General features: G+C 53.0%; 1 protein-coding gene across 24 annotated transcripts in view, besides 3 other annotated features; it reads right to left on the minus strand.

Moving 5' to 3' along the window:
* The window catches only part of CAMKK2 (calcium/calmodulin dependent protein kinase kinase 2), a 60128-nt gene continuing 43033 nt past the window's right edge, over window positions 1450-18544 (minus strand). For 5 of the 24 annotated variants that reach the window (NM_006549.4, NM_001270485.2, XM_047428101.1 and 2 more), the window contains 8 exons: window positions 17031-17230; window positions 16419-16472; window positions 13719-13792; window positions 13545-13632; window positions 12364-12492; window positions 8898-8998; window positions 8331-8373; window positions 1450-4627 (listed from right to left, as the gene is read on the minus strand). In NM_006549.4, coding sequence (NP_006540.3) covers window positions 4457-4627; window positions 8331-8373; window positions 8898-8998; window positions 12364-12492; window positions 13545-13632; window positions 13719-13792; window positions 16419-16472; window positions 17031-17230 — 860 coding nt within the window. In that variant the 3' untranslated portion in view covers window positions 1450-4456. Of the gene's footprint in view, window positions 4628-7345; window positions 7888-8330; window positions 8374-8897; window positions 8999-12363; window positions 12620-13544; window positions 13633-13718; window positions 13793-16418; window positions 16473-17030; window positions 17231-18544 lie in introns of those variants that run through there. The other 19 variants (XM_017018702.3, XM_011537763.1, XM_047428102.1 and 16 more) reach the window with 8 other exon arrangements.
* Window positions 4524-4603: a silencer, noted in NCBI's record as "silent region_4971". NCBI's record gives its function as "represses an Ori minimal core promoter by ATAC-STARR-seq in GM12878 lymphoblastoid cells {active_cell/tissue: GM12878}" and the evidence as "EXISTENCE:reporter gene assay evidence [ECO:0000049][PMID:35858748]".
* Window positions 9542-9755: a silencer, noted in NCBI's record as "fragment chr12:121683587-121683800 (GRCh37/hg19 assembly coordinates)". NCBI's record gives its function as "represses an EF-1alpha promoter that drives an FKBP-Casp9 reporter gene in an ReSE screen in K562 erythroleukemia cells {active_cell/tissue: K562}" and the evidence as "EXISTENCE:reporter gene assay evidence [ECO:0000049][PMID:32094911]".
* Window positions 12699-12778: an enhancer, noted in NCBI's record as "active region_7161". NCBI's record gives its function as "activates an Ori minimal core promoter by ATAC-STARR-seq in GM12878 lymphoblastoid cells {active_cell/tissue: GM12878}" and the evidence as "EXISTENCE:reporter gene assay evidence [ECO:0000049][PMID:35858748]".

Raw genomic sequence — 18544 nt, forward strand, 5'->3', positions numbered from 1 at the left:
AAGGGCAATGGGTGTGTTTATGATCTTGCTCGTCAAGGAGTGATGGTCACTGGCTGTCTTCCGAAGTGGGGGAGATGCTGTTTAGCCTCTTTTCTAAAACAAATGTGAAAGCAAGCCAGTGTTGGGGTGAGGGGCGGGTGTGTTTCTAGATGCCATGAACACCAGCAGGAGGCTGGGTGTGGTGATGCGCGCCTGTCATCCCAGCACTTTGGGAGGCTGAGGCAGGAGGATTACTTGGTCCAAGAGTTTGAGACCAGCCTGGGCAACAGGTAGTGAGACCTCATCCCTACAAATAATTTAAAAATTAGCCAGGCATGGTGGTGCACATCTGTAGTCCCAGCAACTCGGGAGGCTGAGGTGGGAGGACTGCTTGAGTCCAGGAGTTTGAGACCAGGCCTGGGTAATATAGTGAGATTCTGTCTCTATAAAAAATTTAAGAATTATCTGGGTGTGGGGGCTGGTGTGGTGGTGGGCCCCTGTGGTCCCAGCTACTTTGGAACCCAAAGTGGATGGATCACTTAAGCCTGAGAGGTGGAGATTGCAGTGAGCCGAGACTGCCACTGCACTCCAGGCTGGGTGACAGAACGAGACCCTGTCTCAAAAAAGAAAACCAGAAGGGTTTTGCTGGCAAATTCTAACCCTTGGACAACTGACTTAACTTTCTGGAGCCTCACCTCACAGACGATGATCCATAAAACGAGGTTAATCCCTACCTCGTGGGGTAAAGTGTCATGTGGCATACCAGGCCATAGTTCAGTGTGACTGAGACTGCTCGGGGGCTGCCCACCTGTCTGGCCTCCACCAGAATCTTGCAATTACCTGCCTGCGAAAGCAGTGCTGCTCAAACTTCAGCACACGGACGAGTCACCTGGGGAGCAGGTTTAAGCCAAGCCTGGGTATCTGCATTTATTTTTTTCTTTTAATTTTTGAAACAGGGTCTCGCCCTGTTGCCCAGGCTGGTGTGCAGTGGCATGATCACAGCTCACTGCAGCCTTGACCTCCAGGGTTCACGTAATCCCCCCACCTCAGCCTCCTGAGTAGCTGTGGGACCATAGGCATGCACCACCACACTCAATTAATTTTTTAATTTTTTTTTTTTTTTTTAAGAGATGGGGTCTTGCCATGTTGTCCAGGCTGGTCTCAAACTCCTAGGCTCAAGCAATCCTCCCACCTTGGCCTCCCAAAGTGCTGGGATTGCAGGTGTGAGCCACCGTGCCCGGCCGGCACCTGCGTTTCTAACCCACTCACAGGTGACACTGGCGCTACTGGTCTGGGAGCCACACTGAGTAGCAAGGTCCTAGGACATGCTCTAAATTAGAGATTTGCTGAATACATTAGCCTTGACTTGGGCATCTGACCTCGCTGTCAGCCTGAGGAAGGAATACAGACATCAGGGCAGGCGGCCTAAATAAACAATCACCAATACAAACCTCCCCAAGAGGCCCAGGCTTGGCACCATTTTGCTGTCTGTTTATTTCAACTGTACAGAGAAGCTTAAACACCTGTGGAAAAACACGAAAGGCTTAGTTGTCTCTTAAGTTCATGTACTTTTTAGTGATAAATACACAGTATTTAACTTTATACACCTGATAAAAGGAAAATGCATAGTAGAAAGGGTCGGGAATGAAACAGAAGCATCGGGCATTGAATCGATCACAGAGTAGAAAAATCTGCAGTCCCCAGAAACTCGGCCTCCAGCTGGAGAGGGGAACCAGCGTACCCTGAAACTTCCCTAGCACCTTGGAAGCAAGTGGAGGTCATGGTTCTTCCACTCGGCAACGTGAAGCTCCCCGCTGGAAGACAAGTGAGAGCGACAGGCCAGGCCTGTGTGTCCACCTGCACAGGCATTCTCCTTGTTCCAGAAAGGCTCTGAGGACGGAAGACCTGCCTCTCAGGAAAGGCCAGACCAGTAGGGAGAGGCCTCCGCAGCCCCAAGTGTCAACAAGGGGCTCAATAAGGCTTTCTGGGAGCCACTGGCAGCTGGTGGGATGGAAGGGGGAGGTGGAAAAGGGCAGAGGAAATGGGAAGTGGATGGAGGGTTTGTGCTTCCTTCGAGGCCACAAGTGCAGGCCACAGGTTGCTTACACCAAATTGGTCCCACAGATGAGCTAGCAATGGAAGAAATTATGGGCGTCCTCTTTGCCCACTGGAAGAGCTGCTCATAACAGCACCTCCTTTCCTGACAGAGCTGGCTTTTGAAAAATCAATGTGCTCCAAGAGTGGCAGCTCAAATGCTCTGTGTTTACAGCCATCTTGGCTTATCCTTTTCATGTGGGGCAGGTCCTTTCCACAGCTTTCTTTGGTGTTTCTTCATTAAAAGAAAAAAAAAAAGTCATCAATGTGGGTCTCCCCCACCCCACTGCCCCCACAGCTGGGTGCTGCCTGATTGCTGGCATTCCCTGGAAGAAATCTTAGATGGAAGGTTCCGTGGTGGGGAGAAATGGCATTGTCTGATGCAGCTGTGTAAACAAGAGAAGCCCTGCAGAAGCTCTAAGCACTGCTGCCCCCTGGGCCAGCCACCAGGCCAGGCCAGAGCCCACACAAGCAGGCTGGGCCTAAGACTAGGGACCCGCTGGCTTTAACCTCTGCAAGGTGCTTATTGCAAACTAACCAAGCCCCATCTGGTGCCAGAAGGGGTGGAGCTATTGAGTCCTCTCCCCATAAACATAAAGCCAGGAGGGCAAGAGGAAGTGCTGGGTTACAAAGACCCAGCAAGCAGGCCAGACGACCCTCTCTAGACTACCTGTCCTTTGCTCTTCAAAACCAGCATTCCCTAATTCTGAACTGCTTATAAGATAGCAAAACAAGTCTGGCTAAACTACAGTCAAGAGCTTAGGATCTATGGAAGCCAAGAAGGCCCAGGGCTCCATGAATGGGCTGGGCAGGGGCACGAGGCCTTGCCTTTGTCTGAGAAGTCCTCACACCACAGCTGATCAGATGGAAACAATGGGGAAGCAGAGTTTCCCGGTGCCGTCTTTCCCCAGCCCAGATTCCACCAAGCGCTGGAAAGCAGAGCTGGGAATCTCCCAAGGCAGAGTCCTTCCAGCTTTCCTCCCCCTCAACTTCACACTCCCCTACCTGTGGCTCTGGAAGGAGTCACACTTGAACCTCAACCAAACTTCCCAATATCAGTTGGAAGTCAAAAAGATGAACCCTTTCTTTCTGGACTTTTAGCTACAAAGGGGAACTTCCTGTGCCAAGCCCTGGTTTCCTCATACCCCAACGAGTGCTGTGGGTTTCAACAGTCTTCTCTAAAAGGGTGCCCCAAGGTTATTGTGTGGAGTCTAGGGAAGCTCAGATCCTCAGGATGATCATTTGTGTGTTGGTCCAGTGAAAGCATTTCCCACCTGGCCCTCCAGAAACTGGGTATTTCATTGACCACAACAATCAGCTAGGATTTAAAATGAAAACAAAACCTTAGCAGTCTTTAGAATATACAGGTTATGAACTAGCTAAGCTGCTAATATATATACAGGCGGGCATAGGTTTCATCGGCTCTAACTGATCACATGCCTGAAGCTGTGAAATATATCCTGGAAGCTCTAAATAGTTTCTGAACTACTGTGCTCTAGAGTTCACTCTAGTTAGAGACTTGAAAAATGTTTTTGTTTAATCTTAAGCCATGTAATGTACATGGAAGCATAGGATTTCACCCTGAAGTTTTCGTAATTTGACAAAGAGATTTACCAGAGCTCGGTCAGCTATCTCAGAAACCTGCTTTGAGCAGCTGTCATGAAGAAACACGTTCAGTCTTTCAGGAGAAATGTTTCCCCACCACAGCTGCTGAATACCCTTCCAGGCTTGGAAAATCCCCTTCCAGCAGCACTTATTAAATTTCAAGCCCTTTCTGTTTTCCTGACTACAATTCTACCCATAAAAAATTTAAAAATCCTTCTTACAAATAAGTTGCATCAAAGCTCCCTGCAGCTACTGAGGGCCAGCCCTGCTCTGACTCCTTGAGACCACGGCTCTGGAAGGTGCCATGGTTTCCGGTTTGCACTAGGAGCCACATCTAGCCCCCTACTCCCTCTCAAATGCAGCAACCACCTCCATGGCCTCAGACCGCCGGAGTTTTCTGCTCGCCTTTCCACAGTTGTCAAACCCCACACACAGTCACTTGGTATATCTGACGTGGTTCTGAAAATCACAATGAAGGATTTTTGGCATAAAAACGTTTTAAAAAGCAATTGTCCCAAAATGCACGTGGGTTTGGGTCTGCAACTCCTCACACCCGCCTGTCCAGCCAGCCAGCGGCCACGGTCGACGTCATGGAGTCAAGTCCTTTTTTTTTTTTTGTCCCCTTTAAAACAACAAAGGAAAAAACAAATAACCAGAGATGACGATCGAGGCTCTACACACGTGCTGGGTTTCCGTAGGACATGCTGCTATGGAAACGCGGTGCAGCAGCCCCCCAGAGGCGACGCGGCGCGCATGCGAGGTCGAGCGATCCAGGCAGCTACTCGGGCTCCATGGCCTCCTCCGGCCGCAGTGGATGCATGCGTGCGGGGGAGCCGGGGGCGGGGGCCCAGCAACTTTCCACGCAGGGACTGCCTCTCACAAGAGCACTTCCTCCTCCCCCACGGGGGGCGGGTCGGTGCCCTGGAGGTTGTCTTCGCTGCCTTGCTTCCTGCTCACCGAACAGAAAACCAACATTAAGACTCTGAGAAATGCCAGCGAGGCCCTGAGCCAGCTGCTCCCACATCTGGGCCCCCTGCCCAAGTGGGCCGTCGCGCACCCCCTGGAACGTGATCTACGTAACCCAGTCTTTGAGATCCTCTCCCCTTTTCCTTGCTCACATAAATTTTTCAAAGGAGACTTTGCACGCAGCCCCTCTGTAAATGAAAGACCAGCATCATTTGCCAAAAATAGCAAGGACCCGTACAACAGTTCCAAAACTATGTAACACCAAAATTCACTGCACAAATCCCAAGTAGAAGGCACCCCCCACCCCACGGCGCCTGTCATACCAGGTTTTTAGGTACTTCGATCCCCCACTTAGGCTATGAGCCCTTACAGGGAAGGGACTGTGACGCTTGTCCTCAGTCACCAGATGTTGAGTTCCTTGTGTGTGGGGGTGATCAGAGCCTCCCCTGCCTGGCCTGGCACACAGCTGGCCCTCAAGAAAGGGCAGATGACAACTGCTCCAGGGATCCTCCCGCCTCAGCCCTCCTGCAGCCAGCCCTGAGGGAGGAGCACCTCAGACAGAAGAGGAGGCCCCTTCCCTCTTGGAAGTGGGAGGAGGAGAGCCCTTGTTTCCCTGAAGAGCCCAGGCTGGAGCCGCCGGTGTGACAGCGTGGATGGCGTGACAGGTGCGAGGGGAATCCCCGAGCCTATCCCCTCACCACCATCACACAGCTCCCCTGTTCTTAGGGAGGTCACTGGGCATGCCACATGGGTTACTGTCTGTCCTTCCCCCACAACAATCCGTGTCTCCTGTCCAGGAGGGAGACTGTCCTTACACAAGGGAAAGGAAGCGTGATGTCTGGCTTGCTATGTTTCTGATGGAGAATGTGGGTAAGGTCCCTGGGGAGGGGGGCGCTGTAACTAGACGTTAGGTCAGGCCCTCAGTCTCTGCCCTCGCAGTTGCCTGTTGGTAGGGGTTGGGTCTTACTGCAGACGGCAGGCAGGCCCCCAGTCCAAGACCCCCAGTGCCTGAATCAGCTCTGTGAGCTCCCATGACCAAGGCATCCTACCTGCTGGGGGCTGAGGGCAGGGGATCCCAGGTGAAGAAAGGAAGGGGCAGCATAGCCCTTTGGGGCCAGTCTCCATCTGCTGGTGTCTTGCAATTTTGATCTCATTGAAACGAAGGCCGGGCACAGTGGCTCATGCCTGTAATCCCAGTACTTTGGGAGGCTGAGGCAGGCAGATCACCCGAGGTCAGGAGTTCAAGACCAGCCTGGCCAACATGGTGAAACCCCCATCTCTACTAAAAAAATACAAAAATTAGCTGGGCATGGTGGCACATGTCTGTAAACCCAGCTACTCAGGAAGCTGAGGCAGGAGAATCGCTTGAGCCTAGGAGGCAGAGGTTGCAGTGAGCCGAGATCACACCACTACACTCCAACACTCCAACCTGGGCAACAGTGCAAGACCCTGTCTCAAAAAAAAAAAAGAAAGAAAGAAAGAAAGAAAGAAAATAGGAAAGAAACCAACAGCAGACTTGCTCAGAGACAGGAGGCAGCCCCGGTTTGGCAAACCCTAAAATGGAGATTGAGAGGAGGAAGGCCGAGGAAAGGCCAGCCCGCTGGGTTTCCACTCCATCATCCGTGAGGCTCACACCCAAGGCGGGGCTGCCCAGGCGTCTGTCTGGGCACAAGCTGGGGACTGTGTCTGCCTTCTGAGACTGCTGAAGACCGGTTCTGAAGGACTGCCATTTTCCCTGCTCTATGCTGGAGGGCAAGGTTTCTCTCAAAAGCATAAATAATTCCCAAACAGGTGTTCCTCCTAGATTACCATATAAGCCCTGACTCCCACGGGATGGGTGGCCAATCCATTTCTTTTTCTTTTCTTTTTTTTTTGAGACGGAGTCTCGCTCTGTCGCCCAGGCTGGAGTGCTGTGGCGCAATCTCGGCTCACTGCAAGCTCCGCCTCCCGGGTTCACGCCATTCTCCTGCCTCAGCCTCCCGAGTAGCTGGGACTACAGGCGCCCGCCACCGCGCCCGGCTAATTTTTTGTATTTTTAGTAGAGACGGGGTTTCACTGTGTTAGCCAGGATGGTCTCGATCTCCTGACCTCGTCATTCGCCTGCCTTGGCCTCCCAAAGCGCTGGGATTACAGGCGTGAGCCACCGCGCCCAGCCTTTTTTTTTGAGACAGATTTTTGCTCTTGTTGCCCAGGCTGGAGTGCAATGACGTGATCTCAGCTCACCGCAACCTCCACCTCCTGGGTTCAAGTGATTCTCCTGCCTCACCTCCCGAGTAGCTGGGACTACAAGTGTGCGCCACCATGCCCGGCTAATATTTGTATTTTTAGTAGAGACGGGGTTTCACCATATTGGCCAGGCTGGTCTCAAACTCCTGACCTCATGATCCACCTGCCTCGGCCTCCCAAAGTGCTGGGATTACAGGCGTGAGCCACTGCATCCAGCCTGCTAGTCAATCCATTTCATCTCGTAAGCCAACTCCTAACACTTTGTACACAAATGTTCATAGCATCAGTCTTCATTCGATAGCCAAAAGGTGGAGACAAGTCCATCCACAGAGGAATGGATGAACAAAGTGAGGTGCATCCAAACAATGGAATCTTATTTGGCCATGAAAAGGAATGAAGCACTAATACATGTAGAGCATGGATGAACCTTGAAAACATGATGCTGAGAGAAAGAAGCCAGACACAGAAGGCCACGTAGTGTATGACGCCATTTATACGAAACGTCCAGAATAGGCAAATCCATACCTATTCTGAGTGGTTACTGGGGTGGGGGAGTTGGATGGGGACAGCTAAGGAGTGTAGGGTGTCTTCTTGGGCTGATGAAAATGTCGTAAAGTTGACGGTGGTAATGGCTGCAGAAGTCTGTATTAGAAACCACTGAATCATACACTTCCCGTGGGTGAATTACATGGTATGTGAATTGTACCTCAGTAAAGCTATGTTTAAGAAACAGAAGTGACTGCCTGGAGCTCCCACCAAGTCAGGTAGCCATGATGTGCTCAGTGGGAAGGGCAGTGGGGTCCCCACCCACCACAGCACCTGCAGCAGGGGTGCCCAGCAGGTTCTCCCAGTCTCATAAGGACACAAAGCCTCATCTGTCCTGGGAGGTTCTGGTCACCTGGGCTGGCTATGTGTATGAAGGAAGGGTGGCTGACAGCAAGAAGGTCTGCATCCACTCGGGTGAGGGAACTCTTACGTTACTTTGCAACAGGCAGGAAGGGGACTTATTTTCTAGGTCTAAACACATCAAAGAAAGAGAAGTGGAGGCTGGAGAGCCCCTAGCGAAGAGCCACACAGTGCAGCATGCCTGACCTATGTGCTGACCATGCGGACTCGGGGGGGCACCCATGGGCCCTGTGACAGAGCTTCAACACCATTGACGTGCACTGAGAAGACATGGGTGCCACACAGGATCTTCAGACCTGGGTGCATTCTCAGGCATTCCAGCTGGAGCGCCATGCACCCGCAGCCCCAGCCCACATGCATGACCCACCATTGGGTCCAAGCCCCCGAGGCCCCTCATTCTAATACTGGGTCTGGAGGCCCGCGGTGAGCCGGGCCACAGCAGCCCAGGCTGGAAGGAGCATCTGCCCGGGTGGGGATGCCCCCGTGCTCTGCAGCTGCCCACCCGCCCCCCTCAGGCCCCAGCAGAGGCTACGGCACAGGCAGGCGGGCGTTACCTTGAGCTCAGACAGGGACTCACATTCCCTGGTTGGTTTTTTGCTGGAATCACCAGAGGGAGGGAAAAGGGAAGTGAGAAGGGACCCTTGGGATCCACGGGATGCCCGTTCCCCCACCCTGAGACACTCAGACCCCAAACACCAGCTTCATAGAGCTGGAGCCAGGGTGGCGTTGACAGCAGATGAGTGGACACCTCTCTGCATGGACACACAGGGTCCTGAGTGAGACCACACTGCTCGCCCAGCACAGAGCCTCAAACCTCCCCATCAGGCACTCACGGTCCCGGGCCACAAAAGTGCTTTTCTTCTGACTGACCAAGAGCCCCCCAGCTACAGTGCAAGTTCCCGAGAAAGGTAAACTTCAGGTGGATTAGCTGTCAGCAAAAGGAGGTGGGCTGAGCCCAGGTTGGGGTGCTGACTGTCCCAGTGCACCAGGTGGGTTTCATCTGAGTCTCTCCAGATGGCACCACTTCAGGGAGGACCTGTGCAGAGTGGTCTGGGCAGGGCTGCCCCAAGCCTAGCCTCCAGCCACCACTCCCCCACCCAAGAAGGCAGGCGGCCACTCACGTGAGCAAGTTTCCAGGCGCTGACAGTGAGCGTTCCTCCCGCCGGCTGCCCTCGAATGGGTTCCCAAAGGAGCGTTTACGTATCATGGTCTTCACCAGGATCTGAAGAGGGAGAAAAGAGGAGGTGGCAGGCAACTGCTTGGCCATGTGGGGGCGATTCTGGGCAACATCCTCCCTCTTCCTTCTCCCCAGCCCCTGCCAGCTCCCAGGGCTGGTGACCGATGGCAGACTTTGAGAGAAACTGGGCAGCACCACCCCGCAACCAACCCCCGCCGAAAGAATCCTCTGGGAAAAGGTGCTGTCCTGCACCACACCCTCAGCCACTGCTCAGCGTCTCTCCCAGGCCTCCCTGCTTTCCACCTCCCTCCCTCCCATCCCTTCCAAAACCCAGATCTGGTCCCCTCACTCCCTGACTCAGCATCCCCACCCAGAGGGGTCTGGAACTTGGCCTGTGGTCAGCCAGAGAGCCCCGGAAAGTTCTGGAGCAAGGACGTGAACCAGTCATTCTTGGTGATGCTCTTGGCTGCCATTTCCCATGAAGGGAATGGCCTGAGGGCCCCATAAGAGTCACTGGGCCCCTCACCCCACCCCAACCAGGGCACGGTGCCCCTTCAAGCTGTTTTGGGAATTCACAGAGCTTCTGACTTTTTAAGCATTTGCTGCTAACAAGAAAAATAAGTGTTTAAGAAACACTGATTTACCAAAAGATGCAAACACCCAAATGCCCATCAACTGAAGAAGATAAACTCAAAGCGGTCTGTCTGTGCAATGGAACATGATTCAGCCATAAGGAGTGAAGCACTGATCCATGCTACAACACAAACGGACCCTGAAAACCTTCTCCTACGTCAAAGTAGCCAGGCCCGAAAGGCCTCAGAGTGTAGGATTCCACCAGAATACACAAATCTATAGACACAGAGGGCAGGTGAGTGGGTGCCAGGGCTGGGGGGAGGTGAATGGAGAGTCATTGCTGATGGGCGGGGGTGTGAAGTAATGAAAATGTTCAGAACTATTGAGGAGATAATTGCATGTCACTGTGAATGTCCCAAATGTCACTGAATTGTTCACTTTAATTTTATGTTATGTGAATTCTACCTCAATTTAAAAGAAGGAGCGGGGGGGGGGAGGCGGGCGTGGTGGCTCATGCTTGTAATACCAGCACTTTGGGAGGCTGAGGCAGGTGGATCACCTGAGGTCAGGAGTTTGAGACCAGCCTGGCCAGCATGGAGAAACCGCGTCTCCACTAAAAATACAAAAATTAGCTGGGCATGGTGGTAGGCACCTGTCATCCCAGCTACATGGGAGGCTGAGGCAGAAGAATTGCTTGAACCTGGGAGGCGGAGGTTGCAGTGAGCCAAGACCACACCACTGCACTCCAGCCTGGGCAACGAGAGCAAAACTCCATCTCAAAAAAAAAAGAGAGAGAGAATGAAGGCCTCTTCCCCTACTGAGGTTCTTACAGTCACTGGGACATGCCAGCCCCTCTTTCCTCTGTGTCTGAGCAGATGTCACTCCCCAGGTGAGCCCACCCTGCCGCCTCCCCTGTGGCCTTGTCAACCCAGAGCAGGAGCTCCTCCTCTGTGAAGCCCCCAGCCCTTGCATCTCTCTGCACTGGCCTCTGATCACACAGGAGGCTGATTCTTCCCAGGTCCATCTTTCTTATAAGGCCAGGAGCCCCTCCCCCAGCCCCCCAGCCCCCTACCCCTGAGAGCAGGCACTGGGCTAAGCTCATCTTTGACACCTATGCCTGGCACACACTGGCTGCTCCGTGTTTGCTAAATGATGAACACATGCAGGGGGCCTGGACCTTGCCATCTTGTCCCAAGTCAGACCACTTCCCAGTATCTACCCGCCCATCCCTGCTCCAGCTGCCCTGGTTCAAACCCTGATTCAAACCCATGCTCTTGGAGTAAACATGTAAAACCTCGCCACACCCTCCCTCCACCTTCCTTGCCCTGCTTCAGTGGCCCCACCCAGTGTGTTAGCCCGTCCGCCCTCTCTCGGCGGAGTTAACACCCTACCATCCTCTCGGTGTCTATCCACTTCTTCCCAGTGGGTCCAAGTGTGCCTCCATTAGGGGCATGTCCTGTGGTCCCTCTACTGCACTGTACATACATTTGTTGGTTTGACCAGCATCTGCCTCTCAAGCATGGCAGAGGCCATGGGGGTTTTGTTCATCACTCCACCCAGCCCCTGCTCCCAGCACAGGCCTGAGAAACCACTCGGTGTTCAACAAGTGTTTCCCGTATAATGAATGCCTACTCCAGACCTCCAGGGCCAGACGCTTTCTCCCAAGAACCCGTCCCAGAGACCCAGGAAGGAAAGGGAGGGCAACTGATTCAGGACTGAGAACCTCCTGAGCCTGGAACACAGTAACCCACGGTGGGTGCAGAGTCCGACGCCAGCTGTCTCCTCGTCTACAGGCACAAGGGGTGGTTGAGGAAGGGTGAGTGGGTGTGGGTGGGTCTTCAACAGTGAAGGTCCTGCACAGCCCCAGGTGGGGAAAGAGTGGAGGAAGATGTGGATGGATGCCCCAGCCAGGGCTCAGCTTTGGGAGGAGGAGAGAGGAAGTGTGTGGGGAAGCAGAGAAGAGAGGTGCAAAGCTGGAGGAGCAGGAGCAGCATCTGGGCTCCTACAGGGGCAATCCTTCACAGCTGGACCTTCTGTGCCTTTCCAGCCAGTCTCAAGGGTCCCTCCCAGAGCCCAGGGGCCCGCCGGCCCACTGGGACTAGTGCTGGCCAACTGCAACCAGGCCTTTCGAGGTGGCTGTGGTGGGACAACCTGCTGGTCTCTGTCCCCAAGCCTGCTGCCTGGAACCTGGATCCCTGGGACTCTTGGTCTCTCTCTTGGAGCTAACTGCCCTCCTGGACAGGGACTTGGTCAGTGGCGATTCCCAGAGCCTCCAAGGTTAGGCCTGAGGACTCTACATTCTGGCTCCTTCTTCCTGGGTCAGGATCCAAATTCAAGGCCATAAAAGGGGACCTACTTGCTCCTAAGCAATTCTCACTCTCAGGAGATGGGCAGAACTTTCTGAGTGTGTGCGTGGAAGTCCCTGCCCCTACCCCTGGTGGCTGCCCACACAGCAGACGTGAGATATGCTACGCCATCCACCCTGGAGCCTAAAATTCCAGCTAGGCGGGAATCCTGGCTTAGAGACCTGGGCTCCGGCTCCCAACCCTTGCCCCTGCCTGGAACTTCTCCTAGTTCCTCTCCCCTGATGAGCTCTGAAAGCAGGAATTCCAGAAGGATAATCTTCCCCTTCCTATGGTAACATGGAACCTGGCTCAGAAGATGCAGGGGTCACCTGGCCTGATACATGACCAAGGCCCAGAGGCCAGCAGCTGTGGATTAGGGGTGGCCCCCGGACATCTGACTCCCGGGCACCCGCCTGTGTCCGGCCTGTCCTGGCCAGGCCCCACCTCAGGCTCCTGGGTCCCTGCTCTGGGTCAGGGGTCCATCCACCTTACCACGGTTGCCAAGCTGGGAATGTGTTTGACTGAGTTCTCGACCTCCTCTTCAGTCACTTCGACCAGCGTGCAGTTCTCATCCTCCGACGGCAACGGCTCCGCCCCATGCCTCGTGACCCAGGGGTGCAGCTTCAACGAACGACAGGAGGGGTGAGGGGCAGGTGTGGCTGGCTACCGGGGGGCCCTGCCAGCGAGCGGAGCCACAAGGGCATGCAGGACGGAGAGGCAAGGGCCTGTGGTCAGGCATGCAAAACAGCTGGCGAGCAGAGGGCAGGGGTGAGCAAAGGGGCGGAAACATGAAGACGGAGAGACAGGACGGGAGGAGCTACAAGGCTGAAATGGAAGTGGGGCGATTCTCCATCCGGCCCCGGGTCTTGGCCGAAGTGATGGGAATTTGGCATCTGCCTTGCCTGGCTGCCCAAGGAGCATCCATCACTCCTCAGCCACAATCCCTGACACCTGGGAGGCTCAGTGCACAGCAGGCAGCATTCTCCCCATCTCACAGCAGGAGAGGCTTGGAGGCATGGTGGGACCAGCTGGCAGGACAGGATCAGGAGAGGACCCAGGCAGGGGTCTGCCCCCTTGGGTCCAAGCCCCAATCCATGATTTTTTGGGCTGCCTTCTGTTAAGACCTTCAAATGCCAGTTAGCTAGCTGCCTAGGAAGTCCCAGGGCAAATCTCTAGATTTCCTAGAGGGCCAGATATATGTGTGTGGCATTAGTGGAGATGTGTAGGGGAATACACTTTCCTAAAAGTGCTTTCTGCAAGAGGGTGGGATTCAGCAGGCTGGGGAGGTCGAATTGCTCATTAATTTCCTCCCATCCTCACTGCAGTTTCTCAAAGGGACGGGCCTTTGGAAAGGACCTGAGCTCTGGGAATAGGGTGTGGAGCACGGAGGCCCCATGCCGGTCTGCAGAGGGTGGATCCCATCAGCCCACGCCAATCAGAGCAAGTGCAGGCTGGCGGGTCATAGATCCCACTCCCACAGTCACAGTGCACACAATGCCCAAATCTTCCTACCCAGCCCTCAACAGCCCCCAGCAGCTCAGAGGCCCTGGGGCATAGGAGAACAGCGGTGCCAAGGAGGGTGTGGTGCTGTGGACACAAGGGTGTGGGGTCTGGCTGAGGCATGGCTGAGCCAAACAATTCCGAGCACGGGGCACAGGCTGAGCCAAGGGTACCTTGATTTCCGGCACCACGATCCTCGACTCGGGGTTCTTGTCCAGCATACGGGTGATCAGGTCCTTCAAGTCCTCAGCTATGTCGGGCCTGGGGATGGAGAGGCGTCAGGGTGGCAGACACGGGACCGCCAAGAACTCGGACAGGAGAGATGCGGGACGGCGGGAGATACTCACTGGTCTGGAAATTCCAGGGCCTGACTCTTGATCTTACTGTGTAAACACATGATCCGCTCGTCCATGAATGGGCACTGCAAAGAGGCCAGGGACAGAGTGGCAGTCAATGGCGGCCACATCTGCCCTTCGAGGGCCACCTGTGCTGTGCCACTCCACATAGGATACAGCAGAGAAATCAACAATTGCGGCCCAGGCTAGGGGGCAAGCAGTTCCCATTCTCCCCGAGAATGGCCAAGACACAGGGGTGTGGGGCCTGGCCGACGCAGGGCAGAGCCAGGAATGGCCCTCTCGAAGGGCTAGAGCCTTTCCCAAGCACACTGCAGGCTCCCTCTGTAGCTGGGCCTCAGTTTACCTACTTACACCAAAGCAAACACTGCTCGTCACCTACTTGCCAGGTGAACAACAGGAACAACAAGAATAACACAAAAGACTTTGTGTTATTTGTGGCAGCAGCAGTGATTTTCAAGGGCTTAGCCTGGATCGCGCCACGCCCTGCCCTGAGGTTTTCATTCACTGTTCCCCGTCCCTGGAATGTTCTTCTCACCAACATCTACGTGGCTTGGTCTCTCCCACCATGCAGGTGTCTGACTAAAGCTCACCTTCTCAGGGAGGACTTCCTGAAGCCCTGTCTAAAACAGACAACCCCCAATGCCGCCACCGCCCACATCACTCCTCATCGTAGCACTTATCCCTGACGTTATCGTACAGATTTGTTTATTGTTTAACCCCTCCCACGGGAACGTTAGCTCCAAGAAGGCAGGGATTTCTGGCTGTCTTGCTCACTGCGGACTCTCCGTGCCTAGGAGCGTTCCTGCACAAAGTAAGGGCTCAATAAATATCTGCTGAATTAATGGATACTTGAATTATTTCTGTCAATCCTCTCAGAAGTCATCAGAAATAATAAGTAGTATTCTCATTTTACAGAAGAGAAAAACAGAAGTTCAGAGAAATAATGTGTCCCAGGAAGTACGAAGAGGGATTTAAGCCTAGATTCAGCTGACTCTGAAGCCTATTTTTGCACCACCTTCTGGGTGACAAATCGATGCTTTCACCCAGCTGAGGGCCTGACTCAAGAGCAGCTTGGTCATGTGTGCTGGAAAAGGAATCCTTACACGGGACACTGAAAATGTTGGAGAAGGTGGCAGAGAGGTACCTGAACCACCCGTCTAAGGAAAACGATTTCATTAAGAGCAGTGACTTGAGCTCTACCTAATCACTGCCTTCTAAGGCATTTGGAAGGAAGAGTGGAGATGGTGGTAACTTACTCTGAAATACATTAAGAAACCAGATGGACTGAGGGATGGGTAAGGAATGAACAGACAAGCACAGGAAAAGGTTAATATAGTAGAATCCAGGTGGTGGGTATGTGGGTGTTCACTGGACACTTCTTCCAGCTTTGCTACATGATTGAAAAATTTTCTAATCAAATATTGAGAGGCAATCGGTATAAACTCCTTTACTTCTTCATGGGACCAGTTTCTTAGGCTTTCCTCAATAAGAACACAAGCTCAGGAAAGGGAAAAATCTACGTTTTTATTGCTCACATAATCAAACTGAACTTCAGAGTTAAAACGAGAAGGCCAGGCGTGGTGGCTCACACCTGTAATCCCAAATCCCAGCACTCTGGGAGGCCCAGGCTGGCAGATCATTTGAGGTCAGGAGTTTGAAACCAGTCTGGCCAACATGGCAAAACACTATCTCTACAAAAATACAAAAATTAGCCGGGTGTGGTGGCTGGCATCTGTAGTCCCAGCTACTCAGGAGGCTGAGGCAGGAGAATGGCTTGAACCCGGGAGGCGGAGGTTGCAGTGAGCCGAGATCGCACCACTACACTCCAGCCTGGGTGACAGAGCAAGACTCCATCTCAAAAAAAAAAAAAAAAAAAATAGAGAGAGAAGCCCCCAGATATCAATAATAACAAAATAACAACAACAGAAAAGCCCAAACAGCACTCCCTAAATCAATAATGGTAAACAGCTTTTAACTTCCATTCCAATGCTACCCCTCTGACAAAAGCTTCTAGGAATACCCTGACGGAAAGAACATCAGAGCAGTATCAGGCTCAGGAGGAACGAGCACAGTTATTGATTAGTGATGTCTGCCTTGGGCTCAGAAATGGGAGAGGTGGCAGAACTGCTGTCCTTGCCCTAAATTTATCAACTATTTATAAACTCTAGAGCCTCTGCCAATCCTTCTGTTTTAACAGATCATTTTTTCATAGATATGATCATGACATACATACACATGTATATTTAGGAAGGCATCCTTTTTCACATTGAGATCTAGGTGTAGAAATAAAATAACTCTTCTCTTATTTTATTTTTTGAGACGGAGTCTCGCTCTTGTTGCCCAGGCTGGAATACAATGGTGCAATCTCAGCTCACTGCAAGCTCCGCCTCCTGGGTTCAGGCGATTCTCCTGCTTCAGCCTCCAGAGTAGCTGGGACTATAGGCATGCGCCATCACGCCTGGCTAATTTTTTGTATTTTTAGTAAAGACGGGGTTTCACCATGTTGGCCAAGCTGGTCTCCAACTCCTAACCTCTGCCTCAGCCTCCCAAAGTGCTGGGTTTACAGGCGTGAGCCACCATGCCCAGCCTAAAATAACTCTTAAATAAGTAAGTACTGTCTCCCCGCAAGGGTGACTATTAACCCAGGGGCCACCCAGCAGTACTGAGGGGACAGACACCCCGCCCTCTTACCTGGCCAAAGACAAAGCAGTATAGTGTCACACCCATGGCCCAAACATCCAAGGCCTGCAAGAAAAAGAGCTTAGTGTGAGGGCATAAGGGGTGGTCCAGCCTCCAATCCTCCAGTTTTCCTTTGGGGAACCACCTCTTGACTTTCAGCCCTTGGAGTTGGGGCGGGACCAATCTTGTCTCCTAGGCTCTGGGGCAGGCACAGGATCCAGGCCAGGCCAATGAGAGCACCACTACCCCCAGCCACAGTGATTGGTTCAAGCATGGGCACATGACCCATGTTGGGCCAATCAGAGCCAACCCCAGGGTTTTCACAGGCACTATTCAGAATGAGGAATGCTCTTGCCACTGAGGTTGGCAAATGATAGAAAGTAACCTGGTCCCTGGGTGCCTGACCCACCTGTGGAGGAAACCAAATAAGAAAAACAACTGAAAGATGGCGGGAGATGGTTTCTGTTTGAGTCCCTGGATCTAGCCAAGCCTGAAGCCTACCCCTCAGTATCTTGATCCAGGGGATTCACTGTTTAAGCCTGTGTGCGTTGGGTTTCTGCTGCTTACAATCCAGAAGACACTAACACAGGCAGAACTCTGTGGCTGAGGCAGGCCCAAGCTTACCTTCCCAGAGAAGATCTTGCGGGTCTCAGAGAGCGACTCGGGTGCCATGAAGGCGGGCGTGCCCACGGTGTTGGAGAGGAGCGCGTCACTGCCCTTGAATTCATTGCTCACACCAAAGTCAGCGATCTTGATGTGCCCATCTTCTCCGACCAGGAGGTTGGAAGGTTTGATGTCACGGTGGATGATCTTCTGGTAGTGTACTGGGGAGGCGTAGACAGCAGGTGGGAGATAGGGGCAGGAAAACCTCGTGAGCACCTCTATGCGGCCACATGGCCTGGAGACACAGGCATGGCACCCCTCTGATGCCTTGTCTCCCACAGCCCCAGGCCTTTTCCAACCTTCCACTCCCCAAACCCGCTGGGCACTGACATGCTCTAAAAGATGAGGGGAAAAGTGTCTTCAAGGAAGTCCCAGCCCACCATCACCCCACCCCTTCTCAACAATGACACATAAAACACTGCCAATAGCAATTCGTAATCGCCTGTTATTTATTAAGTCACAAGTGACAGTGCATGGAAAGTTTTTGCTGGGCTTGGCTCACAGCTAGTTGTGAAACTGACAGTGAAACATAGTTTCATTTACCAACAGCCAATACTCAACTGATTTACCAAACCGACAATGACCTGAGCAGGCCGATTTGAAATGTGAACCACACACAGAACTCGGGGCTTGGCTAACTCCTCCTGGCTGGATATCAGCCCATGGTACAGGACAGTTCTATGGCCTGGAAGACCCAACTGCCATTTCTGGGGTGATGATGATGATGAAGACGATTTCAGTGAAAGCAGCAGCAGAGCACCAAGTGAGGGGCCCGGCCCTGCGTTGTGTTTCACATTCACATTTTACATTTAATTAAACCTCACAACCATCCTATGTGACAGGCAGGGATAAGAGATAACGTGGTGGCCGGGCACGGTGGCTCACGCCTGTCATCCCAGCACTTTGGGAGGCAAGGCAGGGGGATCACCTGAGGTCAGGAGTTCAAGACCAGCCTGGCCAACATAGCGAAACCCCATCTCTACAAAAAATACAAAAATTAGCCGGGCATGGTGGCGTACACCTGTAGTCCCAGCTACTTGGGAGGCTGAGGCATGAGAATTGCTTGAACCCAGGAGGCAGAGGTTGCAGTGACCTGAGATCGCGCCACTGCACTCCAGCCCAGGCAACAGGGCAAGAATCTCAAAGGAAAAAAAGAGCTAAGATGTTTAACAAGCAGAAGCAGAAAGGACACCTGCCAATCAAACCACTGATGTGTACTGGCTGATCTCAGCCCTGGTGAGAGATATGTTATCCCCATTTTACAGATGAGGAAGCTAAGGTTCCAGGAGGTGAACAGGACCCTGATCCCAGGGTCACTGGGAGGAATAAGAGACAAAAAAAATAGAGCCCCAAACAGTGCCTGGTGCACATAGAAAGTGCTAAATAGTCACTATTGCTACTGCTCTTCATTTTGCCAAGTGGCAGGAAGAAGGGTTTTGGCTCGCCTGGACCATGGCCATAGGGTGGCTCTCTGC

The sequence above is a fragment of the Homo sapiens genome, chromosome 12 (assembly GCF_000001405.40).
Source record: "Homo sapiens chromosome 12, GRCh38.p14 Primary Assembly".
NCBI lineage: Eukaryota > Metazoa > Chordata > Mammalia > Primates > Hominidae > Homo > Homo sapiens.